Source organism: Homo sapiens, chromosome 5, assembly GCF_000001405.40.
Source record: "Homo sapiens chromosome 5, GRCh38.p14 Primary Assembly".
NCBI classification, from domain to species: domain Eukaryota; kingdom Metazoa; phylum Chordata; class Mammalia; order Primates; family Hominidae; genus Homo; species Homo sapiens.
In genome coordinates this window covers 120,678,478-120,696,091 of record NC_000005.10, presented here as the reverse complement: position 1 = coordinate 120,696,091, position 17,614 = coordinate 120,678,478, and the positions used below count along the sequence as shown (strand labels likewise).

General features: G+C 35.4%; 1 protein-coding gene across 9 annotated transcripts in view; it reads right to left on the bottom strand.

Moving 5' to 3' along the window:
• Positions 1–17,614, bottom strand: part of PRR16 (proline rich 16) — a 330,317-nt gene that overhangs the window by 98,503 nt on the left and 214,200 nt on the right. For 4 of the 9 annotated variants that reach the window (NM_001308088.1, XM_011543452.3, XM_047417290.1 and 1 more), the window contains 1 exon segment: positions 8,760–10,138. In NM_001308088.1, the coding sequence (NP_001295017.1) occupies positions 9,383–10,087 (705 nt within the window). In that variant the 5' untranslated portion in view covers positions 10,088–10,138 and the 3' untranslated portion in view covers positions 8,760–9,382. 9 annotated transcript variants of the gene reach the window in all.

Here is a 17,614-nt window from a genome sequence, read left to right as displayed (position 1 = left end):
TTTTTTTATTTTTAGTAAAGACGCAGTTTCACCATCTTTGTCAGGCTGGTCTCGAGCTCCTGACCTCGTGATCCACCCACCTTGGCCTCCCAACGTGCTGGGGTTACAGGCATGAGCCACCGTGCATGGCCGGTTTTATATATATATATATATACACACACACATATATATGTTGGAATAAGATTTTTTTTTACAAGTTATGATAAGATTCAGATAAATGGTGAAAATCTACAGAGCAAGGCTTACAAAACGAAGTTATTTCAGGCTGGGCCATAAATCCAGGAAAAGGTGCAGCAAGGCATGTCAGAGGAACAGTAATTAGACTACTCAGCTGGAGCAGCCTTCTCAGTATTGGGGTCGCTAGATTGGGAGATTATTAAGATAGACTTTGAAGTGTTTTTGTTAGGACTGCCAAGACCAGACGTAAGAATTTTAAATAGCAGATAGTCCTAAACCATCAAAATTTTTGGATTGAGATGAAATGGCGAGAGGAAAGTTTCTCCATTGGGTATTGGCAGGATGGAGTAGAAACTAAGGCAAGAGGTCAAGTGAGCAGGCAGGTGGGAAATGCAACTTTCAGAAGGGAGATGATAAAAGCCCATCTGAGGACAGTCATTGGGAATGACTTTACAAAGGAAGACATGGCAAAAAGTTAAAATTACTTAGATTTAAAAAAATGAGAGAGATTGAAAAGCTAACTATAGCTGAAATTTGGAGTTTAGGTAATCAGAAAAATTATTGAGAAGTCATATGGAGGAGCTAATTTTAATATTAATTCTCTAATAACTGATAAGTCCACTTAGAAAAAAAATCTGTTTTATACAGCCCAGAACTTCAGTACTGTATTTTCAATATCACATAAGATATAGTCATTATTTGATACAACTATAAAGTTTTTAAAAAAAGATAAAATAAATCAATCCAAATACTCGATTTTTGTCATAAAGGGTGGTTTGAACGGGTAGAAAATAATAGTGCCAGATGATATTTTTGGACTTTTATTGGCAATATTCATATTGGTGAATGTATGAAACCATAAATCACTGTAACCATAGGACTCCAGTTCTCAGTCCTTTTGAAATGCACTTCACTGAAATATGTATTCAAATATATCACAAACTTTTATGCTTGGTCAGAATTTTTTAAATATCACTGAAAAATTAAGTTTTAAACCACAAACCTAGATATTTTTTTAAAACAAAAGATGGTTTATTCTTGTATGAATATTTTTAGAAGATGTAAAGATGACTAGTGTATTAGACTTTAGTTTCACGAATTATACTCTAAATACATTTATTCATGTGCTATTACAAGTTATTGTAATTAAAACTAGGCTACACTTGTCAAAACAGTTTATTAAACCATGCTTTTTGTTTCAGTTTTCTTAGAATTCTTTTTTTTTTTTTTTTGAGACGGAGTCTCGCTGTCGCCCAGGCTGGAGTGCAGTGGCGCAATCTCGGCTCACTGCAAGCTCCGCCCCCTGGGGTTCACGCCATTCTCCTGCCTCAGCCTCCCGAGTAGCTGGGACTACAGGCGCCCGCCACCTCGCCCGGCTAATTTTTTGTATTTTTAGTACAGACGGGGTTTCACCGTGTTAGCCAGGATGGTCTCGATCTCCTGACCTCGTGATCCGCCCGCCTCGGTCTCCCAAAGTGCTGGGATTACAGGCGTGAGCCACCGCGCCCGGCCAGAATTCTATCATGCTCATTTGCCGACTTTCTAATTCACAAAATGTAATCCATCAAAAATGAGACTTCTACAGATGAATTGGTAAGGTTCTAAGAGAATTATTAGGCTTACCTGATAATATAAACTACAAAAATATCTAAGTAAAATGATTACTTTATAAATAAGATGAAAACAATATCATTAGCATCAACTAAGGCAAATAAAAAACAATCCACCATATTAACAAAGAACACGAGTAATTTGGTAAGAAGTGTCACAAATTAATAAGAATGATTTGTATTTGTTCAAGGTTTTACTCTTAGTATTTTCACATTCATTAAGTAATTAGGACCTCATAACAACATGTTGGCAGGTGGTGTCCTTCAAAGGAGGAATACAGGCGAAATTGTTAGGAAACTGGGTGGTAATAGAAGATAATTAATGTTACCAGAGAAATAAATATTTAGAAATAAAATGTGTGAAACCATGTAATTTGAGGAATGAGTACTAAGCTTTTAGCAAGGACCACGACCTTGTGAAGGATTAGATAAAATTAAGCAGGGGTAATACATATCATTTCTATAAATGTTACTACAAGAAAGACATGAGTTGAGAAAGAATTGAAGTTTGAGTAAATAAAGGAAACAGAAGATACAACTGACCTTAACTATGTGTGTAACCCACTCTGTGTTAGCAGAAGAGCTTTTATCCCATGCAAATAACACAGTAAAATTTAAAGCAAAACATTGAGTAAATAGTAATTTCCTATGAGACCATACATAGTCTAGTTAGCACCAATCTAGAAGATATTATAAAAAAGTTTGGGAGACGTTTCTGACCTATACAAAGAATGAAGTAGAATAATTTAGTGGCTCTGTCTATTCAGTAACTCTGAAGACTGCAGACTTGTTGAATTCTGAAATTGCATATCCGTTTTGCCTCATCCATTTTGCATTTCAGCATTGCTGTCTAGGAAAGAACTGAAGCTTGTAGTCCCATTGCCTTAGAAATTCATCTGGGGTTTATGTTATTGTAGCATCCTTCTGTTGATATTGTTTATTACATTGTAATGGAGGAGTCCAGGTGATCTCAGGATACATACTTAATGACTCAACATCCCCATTAAGTGGAAAGAGTGGCACCATTATCTACGTTTTAAACCAAATCTCAAACCTGGTTGAGTAAGTGCTCTATCAGGAGCACTTAAGATCTAGAAGGACTGAGACTCAAACACGGGCTTTCTTGTTTCGAGTTGATATTTTTATCCAAATACATTGTCCTCTAGATTAATATTATATATACATATATCATAATTTACATCATCACAGTCCTAAATTTCTGTAGTAAGTCATGATATTTATTTGGCTATTCTGGAGAGATAAGTATGTATCTTCAATTTAGGTTTATGTAATATTTGGGGGACAATTCATTTAGGAACTTAATTATAATTGAAAGATTATTTATTCAGAAACTTGACAACTGAAAATTTAGTATGCAATTCTAAAGTGTTTAAATTAAAAATGCCTGTTGGTGACTATTCTCAGACAGAATTCAAATATGGTTGTTAAAAGTTGTAATAAAACTCAATCCTCATCATATTAAATGTTGTTAATTCCCCCCACTAAGCTTTTAGCAGGGTTATAGTAGACTCATTTCTATCTGTGTTTAAAATAAAATGGCATCCTAGTTTATGGTGAGGTTAAGTGAACATTAGGTAATATAAAAAGAAAACAAAGTCTTCAAGAGTCTATAAAATATTCAAATTATTCAAACACTAAAAAATTACTCCTTTGAAACTGTGATGGGTATGACTTGGGCCCACACCCATATGCACATCTCCTTCCATTTCTGGGCAAGGGGACTACAAACAAGACCATGTGACTAGTTTTGGCCAATGACACATGCAAGGGCGTCAAAGCACCAATCTTTGGTGCATAAATCTTAACTGATGTAAAAGCGCCAGTAAGATTCTCCAGTTGCCCCTTTCTATGTTGTGATGATCCTCAATGAGAATGTTGGATTCCCAGAGTCAACACAGTCTTTACTTTTTAATGACTACTTGTGAGACTCCTGCTCTAAAGATTCTCCCAGGCTCAGGGTGAACTCTGACAGAGTTCGTAACAAAGAACTCAGATGTTTTTGAGATACTGGGGTTATTTGTTACCATAGCATACAGCCTAGTCTATCTTGGCTAACACAGAAATACGTTTATTTTTCTACCTTATATCTCCCAACAGCCTTCTAAGGCAAATTCCAGAAAACGATGATGTTCAGCTCTACAGATTACCTGTACACAATGCAGGATCGATGTTTTTAGGTGGTGCTGAAAGATGGTGAAGAATATGGATTGTGGAGGCAGACTGCCTGACTTATAATTCCACTTGACCACTTACTGGCCCTAAGATCATGGGTAGCCAGTTTCCAATACCACAGTTTTCTCATATGTAAAATGTGGATAATAATTGTGTCCAAGATATTGGGTCGTTATGAAGGAAAAGAAGATGTTTTGAGGAAATGATGTTTTATATTCACGTAAAACCCTTCGAAGAGTGTTTAGAATAAAGTAAGCCCTTGATAAGGATTAGATAGCATGTGTCTTGATGCCATGAACCCTGACCCACTTGAGGCACACATTGTTTTATTTAGCTGGTCTAAAATCCCTTTGATTGGTTAGGATAATTGACAATTATATTATGAAATAGAGGGAAATCATATCCATAGCCTAATAACAAAAGTATAGAAATGCTTTTATTAGAGAGAGTTGTAAGCACGCTTTAGAGGTTCCATGGAGCAGATCTATTGCTACTTTTGGCTTTAGGGGTCAATGTTAAATAGATGAAATTCACAAATGAAACACCAGTGTATGATAGTGACAGAGTCAGGGTCAATGGCATAATTCTGTGGAATCAGAACTTCTTAGGGAAAAGATCCAAAATAATAGTCTTTGAACTTAGAGAAAAAAAACTAAAAGGTGAAGCCACTGGTATAATACATGAGAAAATGAAGCTTTCATTATTCAGCAGCTGATTCATTTTAGATGGTAGCTAAATTGCCTGAAATCCCTTTCATATTCTGCAAAGATCAAACACATTAAGAATGTCAAAACAACATTAGGTAACCCCTTTCAAGCGTCAAAATAACTGATCAGAATAAAGGAAAGATTTACGAAGTTCGGGGCTATGAAGAACACAATTAAGTGGCGATATTGTGGAGAGAAAAAGCATGCTGAGTCGTGCTGGCAGCACAAAATGCCAGCCCAACACTTACCAAGGGGCAAATTTTGGCAGAATATTGAAACTGAGGTCTGGAATTTCTACATTTTTAAATAAGTGTACTAATTCCTATGTTATATATTAGTATTAGAGATATGTTAACTTTGAGAAAGAATATATATACCTACATTTGATGAGTCTAGAAGTTATAAATTATAAGCAATATTTCCTCCTTATTTTCCCTGTGTCTTTACACAATTCCATACCCCATGTCGATTTAACCGTATTTTAAAGAGAGAGTTATTTGTAAAGCTTCTTTATGTTACACTTCAGGTTTTTTTTTCCCCAGTAGATCAGAATGATAAATCCAAGTGCTTCAAATGAAATGACAGCCTACATAATTGCTACTCCTGATTCAAGATAAGGCTAACTGCAGTTTTATGTTCAACACTACTGTGTGCCCGAATTGCAGCATCACATCTGCCATTATTTCAAAATCATGTAACTTGAAGAATTCGAAGACTCCAAAATGTTTACTGTAAACATTTAAACTTGTCACAGTTACACATTGACCCAGAAAAGGTGATGTGATTTTGTGAAAATGTCTAGTAATTGATGCTGTGCACTTTATCTACTTTCGTGATATGGCTTTTTATAGAAATTTATTGCTCATAAATCATTTCCCCAGTTAGAAATCATCCGTATTTTATCAAAGTACATTACAATGTAAACTTTTGCTACAACTTGGAACATAGGCTATAGCAAAATGTGCTGGGGACAGAGAATTAGAAGCAAGAAACGAAATCTTCAGGATAATTACAAGACTCAGCATCGCATTATCACATAGAATCCATGGAAAAAAAATTCAGTCACGGCAGTGATTCATGACTTGATCACACCATTCCTTGTGCAATTATATGCAGAACTACGCAGATTTTCTTCACAGAGCACCCAAAAAGAGCTATAGTTAGACTCTGTAGATTCAAGGTCTTGTATAGTTTCAGAGACTGTGAGTAGCTGCTGCTCTAGTCATGCTGATCTGTCCACAGAAAGCCATATCAACTGTATCATATTCCTTTATTCATTTAATAATTAGGATGCAGTTATAATTCAAACACAGGATAATTTAGGTTAATTAAACCACTTCTGCTGATAGTAGATTCATTTCTTCCAATATTATTCAATGAATGAGGGAAGAAATGGATATAATAACGTCAAATCAGAAGAGTGAAAAATTTCTGTTTTTGTATGCCCTTGTATTTTTGTGAACATATTTTTAGATTTGGCTTAAGCATGACCTTAAAAATGTGTTTCATTTCCCTTTATAACTGCTATAACTATTGGTAGGTGGAAGATAACTTTGGGCAATTTTTATTTTCTTTTCAACTTTCATCAGTAGAAATACAACACAGCAAAAATGGGAAAATCTTTGTCTAAAGTAAAAAAAAAAAACCAAAACACCCTGTTTATTCCAATTTAATTAATGATTACCATGCCTTTTGAAATATGTCCTATTTTTACAGTATGGATATTATCACATTATTTTATTTAAAATGAAATGTATTACCATTTTACATTTTGTGGAAACATCACCTTCAAAGGAGTATGAAGGCTGGCTCTGTGATAAACGCTATGTGTAAATAAAAGTGTTCAAATGCACATTGTTAACAAAACGTAGTTTCAAGTATTTGAGGAAAACATTTCTGTTTATGGTCTTTAGGAAGAGGAAATATGTACTATATTTTATGATGATTTAATGGATGATGTGTAGAGCTTGCACTTCAACATTTACATTTTGAAGCAATGTTGGCTGATTGCAAAAACTGTGCTGCCACTTATGATACTTTAATTACAAGTTTGCAGACAAATATTATGAAGCTGTATGTTAATTGCTTTCTGTTTTACAAGTTTGTATATATGCAAAAATATAACTAAGTTCCAGTGAATGTGGCAATATTATCACTTGGGCAAGAAAACATATTGGTACAATATATTCCATGCATTAATAAAAAATGAAATAGCATGGAGTAAATAAATTCAAAATAAGTCCTAAGAGTGCTGTAATCTAACATTAAATGTTGATTATAAATAAACTGTCATAAAAGAGTAAGGTCCTTATTAGCAAGGTCAAAACTATAACATTTGGGGGATGGTATTTAACTCACATTTCTAAGCCAGTAGTTAGTTAGTTATTTATGTGTTGAATAAAAACAAGTGTAGTTTTGGTATATGTCACCAATCACACAGAAAAATATGGTCTTTCATGGAGAAGCTTTGCCTATACTTAGAGAAAGAGAAACGGATTTGGAACACTGAGATTGTTTCTAGGTGTCTGGCTCAATATCCTTACTCAACCAGCTTGAACGATTAAATTTATTCATCTTGCTTTATCGCAAGGAAATTATCTGTTCTGTAGGTGATGTGTGGTTGCTAGAAAGCTCTACCTTGGGATCGGGCTTGGATCCCCGACATCGAAAAGTGTCACAGTCTTAAACTATAGGGTGATTATTAGGTCACAGTAACTGGTGGAAGAGGAAAGATGAGTTGAAGAAAGAAAACTGCATGTCTTCTACAACTGTTTATAATATTGAACGGTCTAGCTTTTGATAGACATGTGAAAGGAAGTAATTATTTAACCCTAGAAATATGATAAAACCCTGGCTTTATTTATATCAAGACTAAATGCATGCATTAAAAAGTTAAGAACACATTATTTTGGTATTTAATAAGTCTATAATTTACCTGGCTCATATCTATTAAACATATTAATAATACAGATAACAAATTTTAGATTATGGTCTTTCTTGATTATGGATCTGTTTTGTAACTTTCTGATTATTGTAAGTCGGATTATTTTGCTTTCATTATCTTCATGTCCAACACCTATGAAACATAACGCATGCTGAGTAAATATTTAACATGACATTCTGTTTTTTACTCATTTGATTGTTCCTTCAAAAAATAAGGCCTATTTTCTTTTTGTATTCCATCTAAAATATATAATCATTTTTAATAGGAAGCTGTCAAAAACACTATTCAAATTACCATGATCTAGCTTGAAAAAGGCAGGAAAGAAATACGATTGAAGGCTATCTGCCTGTGCAAAGATTACAGTTTTGAGATCAAAAGCCAACTATTCATAAAAGTCATTGGATTCTTTATCAAGTTATGCCATAAATACATTTCCACAAAAGATGACTCCCTCTACTCTTACCACTAATGAACCAATTTTGTTTTCAGGAACCTGTCCTCATCATAACTCTAGGGGAGAGAAACTCATTTCCAGCTCCAGGACAAAATATCTCATCAGTTGAAATTAATAAAATTGGAAGTTAAATTTGGACCATGGGTGGGTAAAGTTTGTTAAGTTGGTAGATAAGACGGAAGAGGAGGATTTTTATTTGATGTTAGAAGGAAAGATTTCTTCTCTTTCTTTTAGAAGACAGCAACGGCCCATGGTATCTTTCAACTCTGAGGGGGAAAAACTTACGCCAAATGCTGAACACATCCTGATACCAGAAGCATTCAGATATCCCCCTATAATTCTCCTATAAATGTGGGTCCACTTGGGGAGGCAGAGAGCTTGCTAATGCAGGAGGCAAAACACCCTACAGCCTCAATGTAATAGTTTAGGGTACATCCTGGAAGAATGCTGAGTATGAGGAGGGCTTGGCAACATAGGGAGAGTTCAACAGAAGGCTCTTGAAGTACCAAATGGAAGTATAAAATATGTAGTGTGTAGATTTTGATTTATGATGTGGAATATGATATTTCATTTAGAAAATTCTGATATACACTCACTGTAACTTCTCCAAACTCTGTCAGATTTGCTGCCCATATTGAGGAATGTTAAGTGAGATTAAATGAACCACTACTTCATTTTAATTCTGAGGAACATTTGCTTTTGTCATTATTTACTATTGTTTATTGATTTAACAATATTTCCACAGACCAAAGTATTTTATTACATATATAGCTGAGCATGTAATTCATAATTGTATAATATAGAAAATAAACTTCTTGGTATTGGCCTCAGCATTTAATAATGAAAAACTAGTGACAAACATCTTTAGAAAAAAATAATAAAATAGTCCTTCAGTATTAAAATTTCCTAGTAAAAAGCATTAGATCAAAGTTAAGAATATGACATGTTAATGCATAGATGACTTAGGCATAAATAAAATGAATCAAATCCCAGCTCTTATAGTAAATCAAAATAGGTGAAATCTGCAGGTTCACAGTTTGTCATAGGTCAATTGCAAAAACAATGCATCATTCATATTTTTCATCATTCTGAGGTTTTTAATGATACAACATTTAAAATAATGCATACCCAGGATATAAGCAATGTGCTGCATACTTACCAGGTGATTTTTATGCCACTTTGCTGAATGCAGGATTAATATATTTGGGCTTTTTATTGCTTGAGTAGAAAGTGCTCATTACTTATTTTATGTTTATAATATAGAAAATTAAAAAAACAATTTTTTTAATGGCATACATCACACGGTTGTAGTGGTTGACTTCCTCAAGATCGTCTTCTGTGGTTTTGGTGCAGTGGGAGGAGGCACAGTTGCAGGTCTGATAGGGGGGAAGCTGTTACTGTGGCTTATTCCCATTCCCCCATTTTCTAGTGGGAAAGGAGGGAGATGGGGTGTAGGAGGGAGGGGAGGGCCTTGGTGAGGAATCTTTCCCGGTGGGTGGACAGGTTCACTGTGTAAGTGGACCTCCCTGTTTTTTATGTTATACCGGGTATCACAGTCAGGACAATAGCCATGGTACTGTACTTTTTCATTAAACCGAACTCGTTCTCGAGGCCCTGCCTGGGGACATCTGTCTTTTTCAGGTCTATGCATCAGAAGCTGGACTGGAGCCTTGTCCAAGTTACTGTTGGGTATGCAGCAGATATCTCCATTTGGAATTTTGTTAGGTCCACCTGGTAAGCCTCCATTTCGTAGAAGGGTGCCATTGGTTTTTACAGGATTGGCAGTTGGAACCACCCTTTTGGGGTCTTCACACTTCACAGGTGTCAACCTTGGAGGAGGTGGTGGAGGGTTTGGCTTTCTCAGGACCGTGAGGATAGCAGACGGGTGTGCTGGGGGTTTAATAAGCGGTGCATTAGCCTGCACTTTGATCTTCTCTAGGCTGGAGGCTGTTGTGCCACTTGAGCTACTATTCAGCGTGTCCGTTTTGGAGCTGTCAGTCATCTCATCCTCCAGCTGTAGGTCAGAGGTCAGGGTGTCAATCTGGTCAACCACCTAGTGGAAAGGACAAGGTAATTGTTTTGAAGAATGACCCAAACAAAGTATACTAGAAACAATTTATTTTTGTCTAGGGGAAATCTGCTATGGAAGCCTTAACTGATATTGAACTGAACATTCCATTGCTGCTTGATGTTTTCAGTCAATAAATTTACAGAATAGTGACCATCACACAGAGGACCAACTGTATGATAATATAATTTAACATGCTTAGAACATAACATATGATTTATATATACATTCTATTTCTGACTCTGATATACCCACCCATAAAATATGAAACCTGATGCAGGAATATAACTGATTTTTAAAAATAATCAGAGGGCATTTCCCTTCTGCTTAACATGCAGAAAGCTGTAGGAGAACATTGCTTCCAATCTTGAAATTAAAAAAAAAGATAATCTGCAAAATCATAATTTTCTTGAGACCAACAGAGACTTGACCTCACAAGGCAACCAAATGAACTCAACTGTTGAGAGTTTCAAGCCCTCTGAGGATATACAGAAAACATCAACTGTTCAACCTTTAGAAAATCACAGGAAAAAAAGGCAGCAACCATCAGAGTGAATGAAGAAAGCAACTAAAACTTTGATGACTAATTAAAGGTTGAATATGTGCTATTATGACAATTTAGAATCCTTGGGAGTCTCAGACACAGTATCATCTGTACTCACTCATGGCCTCCTTTACACAGACCTCTCATGCTGAGAGGAGGAAAGAGATGGAAGAGAGCCCCTGGTGGGCACACAGGCACAAAACCCCATTTACTTCTCAGACTGTTCTCCCTTATAAAGCAGAACCTTTACTGGTGCAGTAGCAAGAAACCCTCCAACCTGTAAGACACAGGCAAAGATATTTTGCTTCTGAGAGAGGGTAGAAGCAAAAGCTGTCTCGCCTTGGAGAAAGGGAAAGAAAATTATCTGGGCCCAGGACCCTAAACTAATACAAAGCAGATGTTTACTATCACTGGGTGAATGACAGGAAGTCACACCAGTCAAGGGCTACTACAGGTACCAGGCAGAGGAGCCAGGGACTCAGATAAGGCTGGCAGAGGCATCAGAGCATAAGACAGGTGGGAACCCACGTTAAGGAGAGAGGTTGTGAAGATAGGAACATTGAATGGAAGTATCTTAGACAATGCAGTTCTAAGGAGACTTTGGCAAGGATACTGGGGAGTCTGACATCTCCCATAACAGGGCAACCTTACTGTCTCTGCCCTGTTCAGTCATTGGCTGGGAGCAGCAGTGTGGTCACTGCTCAAATGCTGACTTTCAGAGTACAGCATCAGGGTCCTCAGTCATTTACACTCTGCATTCAGAGGTCTTGGAGGCCATTCTCATAGCCACCATACCTGCACTGTTATACACATATGAGAATGGAAAAGTTATGGATTGTTTTAAAAATAGTTTATGTAAGGAGACAGTTCCTTCATTTCACACATTTCCATCACATTTATTCCATATGGAGATTTTTCCCTCCTCTCTTACTTAGGTCTAAGTTTAATCAACTGTGAAGTTGGCTCTTTGTCACATGGTGGCAGGATTGGGCTCAAAATGAAAACACCAAAAGCATCTAGACGTTGGACAGGATATAGACTTTACTTCCTCCTCATGAGGCTCTTAAGTGATTGATTCCACCAGGCAGGTAAAGGCCACCAGGGCTCAGTCTTTGGATGTCTCGAAGGCCTGCAAACTCAGCAGTTTCAAAACATTCAACAAATATAGTAAATTCAACAAATTTCTTCTAGTATTTTCTATTTTAGCAAATGACAGCACAAACCTCACATCTGAATAATCAGAAATCCAGAAACTCTATTTGATATCACCCTTTCACTCACCTTCTGGTCAGGAGAACAAGTCCTTCTATTTTAGCTCCTAAATAACGAATCTTAAATCCATTCACTTTCCTCCATTTTCACTTCTGTCATCCTACTCTGAGCCTCTATGATTTACTGTATGGACTATCCAAAGCCACTTTGCTTTTTTTCATTTCAGTAGTCTCAATGACTTTTTTGGTTTTTTTTTTTTTTGAAGCAGAAGTGTGCTTTTGTTAACTCCCTGTTTAAATCCTTTCTATGTCTGCTCATTTCTCCTGTGATAAAGATCAATTCTGAAAACAGACTTCAGGATTCTGCATAGTCTCACTCAATGGAATACTGGTGTTTATCAGCTGGCTCTTGGCAGTGTAAGGAAGTCTTCATTTGAAAGGTTTTGTGTAAAATTCCACTGTGGTTGATTTCAGGTTAGTCATGTGACATTACTGAACCTGAGGTTGGGAATAAATGTACAGTAGCATACAATTAAAAAGTGTACTATACATAAATAAACTCAGGAGCACAAATAATAGTGAACTGCAGTAAAATAATTAAAAATAACAGGGAACAATTAGAAAACCTTTGTTTTTAATGTAATTAGTTTGTTTATACAGTTTCACTTTTTTTTTTTTTTTTGAGACGGAGTGTCACACTGTCGCCCAGGCTGGAGTGCAGTGATGCGATCTCAGCTCACCGCAACCTCCATCTCCCAGGTTCAAGCAATTCTCCCACCTCAGCCTCCCAAGTAGCTGGGATTACAGGCAGCCACCACCACACCCACCTAATTTTTTGTATTTTTACAAAATACAAAAAGAGACGGGATTTCACTATGTTGGCCAGGCTGGTCTCAAACGCCTGACCTCATGATCCACTCGCTTCAGCCCAGTTTCACTTTTAGTAACTGTTGTGTTTAACAACCAACCAGCTCACAAAATTTTTAAAAAATATGATTGATTTTTAGCTAGTATGAGTCAGTTCTAGTCATTGTCTCATGCTCCTAAATAACTCTCAGTCCTCAACTCTGTATTTCTGTTCCCAATCTCTCTGGTATTCTTTAGGCCCTCAAAATTGCTTGTCTGCTTCCTGCCACAGAATGTTTGCACAAACCATTATTTCTTCTTGAAATGCTCTTCCTTCTTCTCTTAGTCAGGTTAACTCTGACACATCCTTAAAATTTTTCCTATTGCATTCTAAAGGCCTAACATAACAACCGGTACTAATTAGGGGCTCAGCAAATATTTGTTAAGTAAATGCTCCGAGGGTTATTTCTTCAGTTTAAGTGTGAGCAAAAGCATTTTCTCTCCAATTTGATTCTTGGAAGTGGTTGTTACTTCAAAACTTATTCAGTTATTCTAGAAGAAAATGGGAAGGAAAGAATTTATCCATAAATGACCACTGAGTTGGTTGCATATTCTCAAGCTCTGTCTAGAAACTAAAGTGAAAGGCTATCTAAAGAATGTGAGAGGTAGAGAGACAGTCTTGGCTCATGGGTCCTTGTCCTATTTCACCTGGAGGTTATCTACCCCACACATTTTATCATAGTAAATTCTGCAGCAAATGAGAGAAAACAGGTCTTTTAGGAGGGCAGTGAAGCTGATTTTCAGAGATGAATAAATGCCACCTCAGTTCCTGCTGGTTTTATGCTTCCTACCTGGTTTCAGTCTCTACGTTATTTCCTGAGTGCCTATAAAATTCCAAGAGAATAAAAAACAAACAAAACACTGCTTTCATGGAGCAGACAATCCATGAAAGGGCCTCACTTTGACTAGATCTTCAAACAAGTAATTTTAAAAGTGCAACTAGCTCAAGCGCTCTGAAGAATATAAGATGTTATAAGAGAAGAGGAAGACCCCATCAGAAAGGTTAGTGAAGCATTCTGTAAGGATGAGTTGGAGCTTACTGGCAGAAGAGTGGTTCAAGCAGTCTGCTCAGAAAAGAGCCTGATAAAGGTCCTCTGACAGAAGAGATCACCTGAGTGTGAGTGATTTAAAGACTGTTTTGGCTCAAGGGCACTGTGAGAGATGAGGTTGGATAGTTAGGTAGCAGCTATCCTGTGAGAGCCTTTGAGATGATATGATAAAGTACCACATATTTTTCTTTTAAAGAGTTGCAGAAGTGAGAGATGTAGTATTCAAACAGACAATGAATTAGTACTTTCAGAACTGAAGTGTCCTCTAAAGTACACAGTTTCAAACAAGAAAATATAAACAAACTCTCACTCAGACATACCATAGTGAAACCAGAAAACACTGAAAAGCAATGATAAAAGTTTTACAACCACAAAAAAGGGAACACCAAGTATTTATAGAGTAACAAAAATTAAGCTGACAGATCTTCCCACAAGTAACAGTGGTCCCAAGAAAATTTAGGAATAGGTTCATACTGAAAAATAATTGGGAATGTTAATATAGTTTAACTGATATAGAAGTGAGAGAAATAGACATTTTTAGACAACAAAGACTGAGAGAGTATTGCTCTTATAGCTCAGTATTGAAAGTATTGATAAATGAAAATTCAGTGAAAGGTAAATAATCAGAAGGAAGAACTGGAATGCAAGAAGCATAGATAAACAAAGGCATTGGTAAACAAGTAAGTCAAGTTATGCATTGATTACAAAACATAATATATTAATGACTAATTTGGGACAGGGTAAGAAAAATGTGAAGCTAAATACTAGGAAAAAGAACATGTCTGTAGGACAATCAGAATTAAACTATTTAAGTTCATTGTCTTTGTTGTGTGTGTGAGGAAAATTATTATCTATCTGATACTGATTAACTTTATTAAGTCAAAAGTGCATGTGTAAATTTTGCAGAAACTATTGAAATAACAGATATAAAATTATCACTTCCAAAATAAATAAGAAATAAAAAGTGAGCAAAGGAAACTCAATAAATCTAACAAGGCAGAAAATAAGAAATCTTAAAAAATGACAACGAAAAGCATCGTAAATGAAAGTCACTCTATACAATAGAATAAATGATGCCAATATATTTGCAATTACAAGAGTGTAAATAGATTAAAATAATGTATAAAAGTAGTGATTGCTGCCAAAAAGAGACACAGAAAGACAATATAAAGTTATAGAAATAAGATATTATCAGGCAAATATCCAGATGCAACCTGATGCAGCCATGTTAATTCCAAGCACAGAACTTAGTCCAAATCTTTCTTAAGCAAAGCAACATATAGTATCTATACCAACTTAGGTGAATAAATAAATAAAACATAATTTAGAGTTTATGTTCATGTGTACACACACACGAGTGGAAAAAAGATTATGAAGTAGCAATTCACGTGAAGTGAACACAAATTTCCAAACACTAAAAACCACACACTCAGTCTTACTAGTAATTGAGGTCATGCAAACTTGAGAAAACAACATAACATTTCAAACTCAATGATTTGGTAAAAATGAAACAACCTGATAATCCCAATTGTTGGTGATGATATCTATAATTGGAACTTATGCATTGTCAGTGCAAATGTAAATTCAGTCAGTTCAGACAACTTTTAAAGAATATCTTATAAATTGAATAAGGTACACACTTTGTGGCAATTCTACTAGGAACACAGCCTCGAACGCCAGGGAAAGTCCAGTAGATGTTCACAGGGTTGGAAATACACAAGGATATTCCTTGCAGGTTTTTCACTTTTGGTATAAAAAGAAATTGGAAACAACCTAAATATCTATTAACAAGTGATTGTGTTAGCAAATATAAAGTAGTTAAAATGAATTAACTAGTTCTATATGTATCAGCAGGGATAAATCTCAAAAACCTAATGTTGAATATTTTAAGAAATAATAAAAAGATATATTCAGTAGGTATATCTTGTTTATGCATACAAGCACAGGTAGTTTAGTTAATACCTGGAAATAAATAATACACATCAAATTCAGAGAAGGAGACAGGAACGAATGAGGGAAGGCATCAGCTACATAACATCAATATTTTGTTTCTTTTAAAAGGATATAAAGTCATGCTGAGAAAATGTTAACATCTGTTAAATAAATTTTATTGTGGATATTTAAGGTACACATGAGGTTATAAAATGCATATACAGTGAAGTGGTTTCTTCAGTGGAACGAATGAGCATATCCATCATCTCACATAGTTACCCATTTCTCCCCAACAAGAGCAGCTATAATCTACTAATTTAGCAAAAATCCTGAATACAATACAATATTATTAACTATAGCCCTCATATTGTACATTAAATCTTTCAATGTGTTCATCCCACATATTTGCTATTTCGTATCCTTTGACCTACATTTCCCCATTCTCTGTCCCCCAACTCAGACCATGGTAACCACTGATTTTGTTGTTTTTGTTGTTGTTGTTTTAGATTCCATATATAAGTAAGATCATGCAATATTTTTCTTTCTGTATCTGGCTTATTTCATTTAGCATAATGTCGTTCAAGTCCATCCGTGTGTGGCAAACGGCAGGGTTTCTTCCCCTTTCTCTTAAGGTTGAATAGTAAATATCTAACATTAGCTAAATATATTTAGAAAGAAATAAAATAAGTAAATCTTTCAGATGCTATGTGGAAAACATACTGAAGGGTGCTGTGTTTTATTTACTTAACCAATTAGATTTTATTACAGCCAAGTGAGAAGTAAATAAATCACCTAGAAAAGGAATCCACTATATCCTTATAATTGCACATCTCTGTTTTGCTTAAGGTATTTCAAAGTATGAAATTGCACCTAAAGAAATAGTAACCACAGGCATGATAGAAATTAAAGATAAAACAAAATGAGAGAAAGCAGGACTGAAGGGATAGATTTTTTGCAGACATTTGGAGGTGAGAAGATAGCATGGCATCAATCATAAATCTAGGAACATCCACAACTAAACATCAGGTATCTAGAAAAAAATGTATCTGAAACTTGAAATTGAGTCATTTGTCCAAATAATTGTGGTTATTTGGGTCTGTGGAGGACTTTGTTAATCACAGTGAAACAAAGAGAGTTTTAAAACAAGGATAATGGCAGATGTTGTGTTTGACAATCCCAGGAGGTTTTTTAAACCATGTATACAAGGAAGCTATAGTAGACTGTGGAATAATTAAAAATAGTGATAAATATGAGTTAGGAATCACAATATTTTCAATATTTCAATATTTCAATCTCAATATTTTCACATATGGATAAATATATCTAATTTCAAAACAGAAAAGCAGATTAAGAAGAAATTAAATAATTATATAATCTAAGTTATTTGTGGAAATCCAAATTCAGTTTATATTACTTCTATAAATCTTAAACTGCAATGAATAAAGGTAATGGCACCATAGAGGTGTCATTAGAGTGGAATTCAGATGTCCTAGCTAGAGCAATTAGATAAGAGAAAGAAATAAAAGGAATCCAAATTGGAAAATAAGAAGTTAAATTATCTTTATTTGCAGATGATATGATCTTATATTTAGAAAAGACTAGAAACTCCACGAAAACACTATTAGAATTGGTAAACAAATTCAGCAAAGTAGCAAGATAAAAAAACTACTAGTAGATCCTTTTCCTAAGCTCCTACTCTGCTTTGTCCTTTTATTACTACAATTGCCTTAATGTATTGGGACTGTCTATTTATGTGTATTCCCCTCAGAACATATAAGCACGTGTTTCCATCCTTTATCCCTGGCAGAGAGCACAGTGA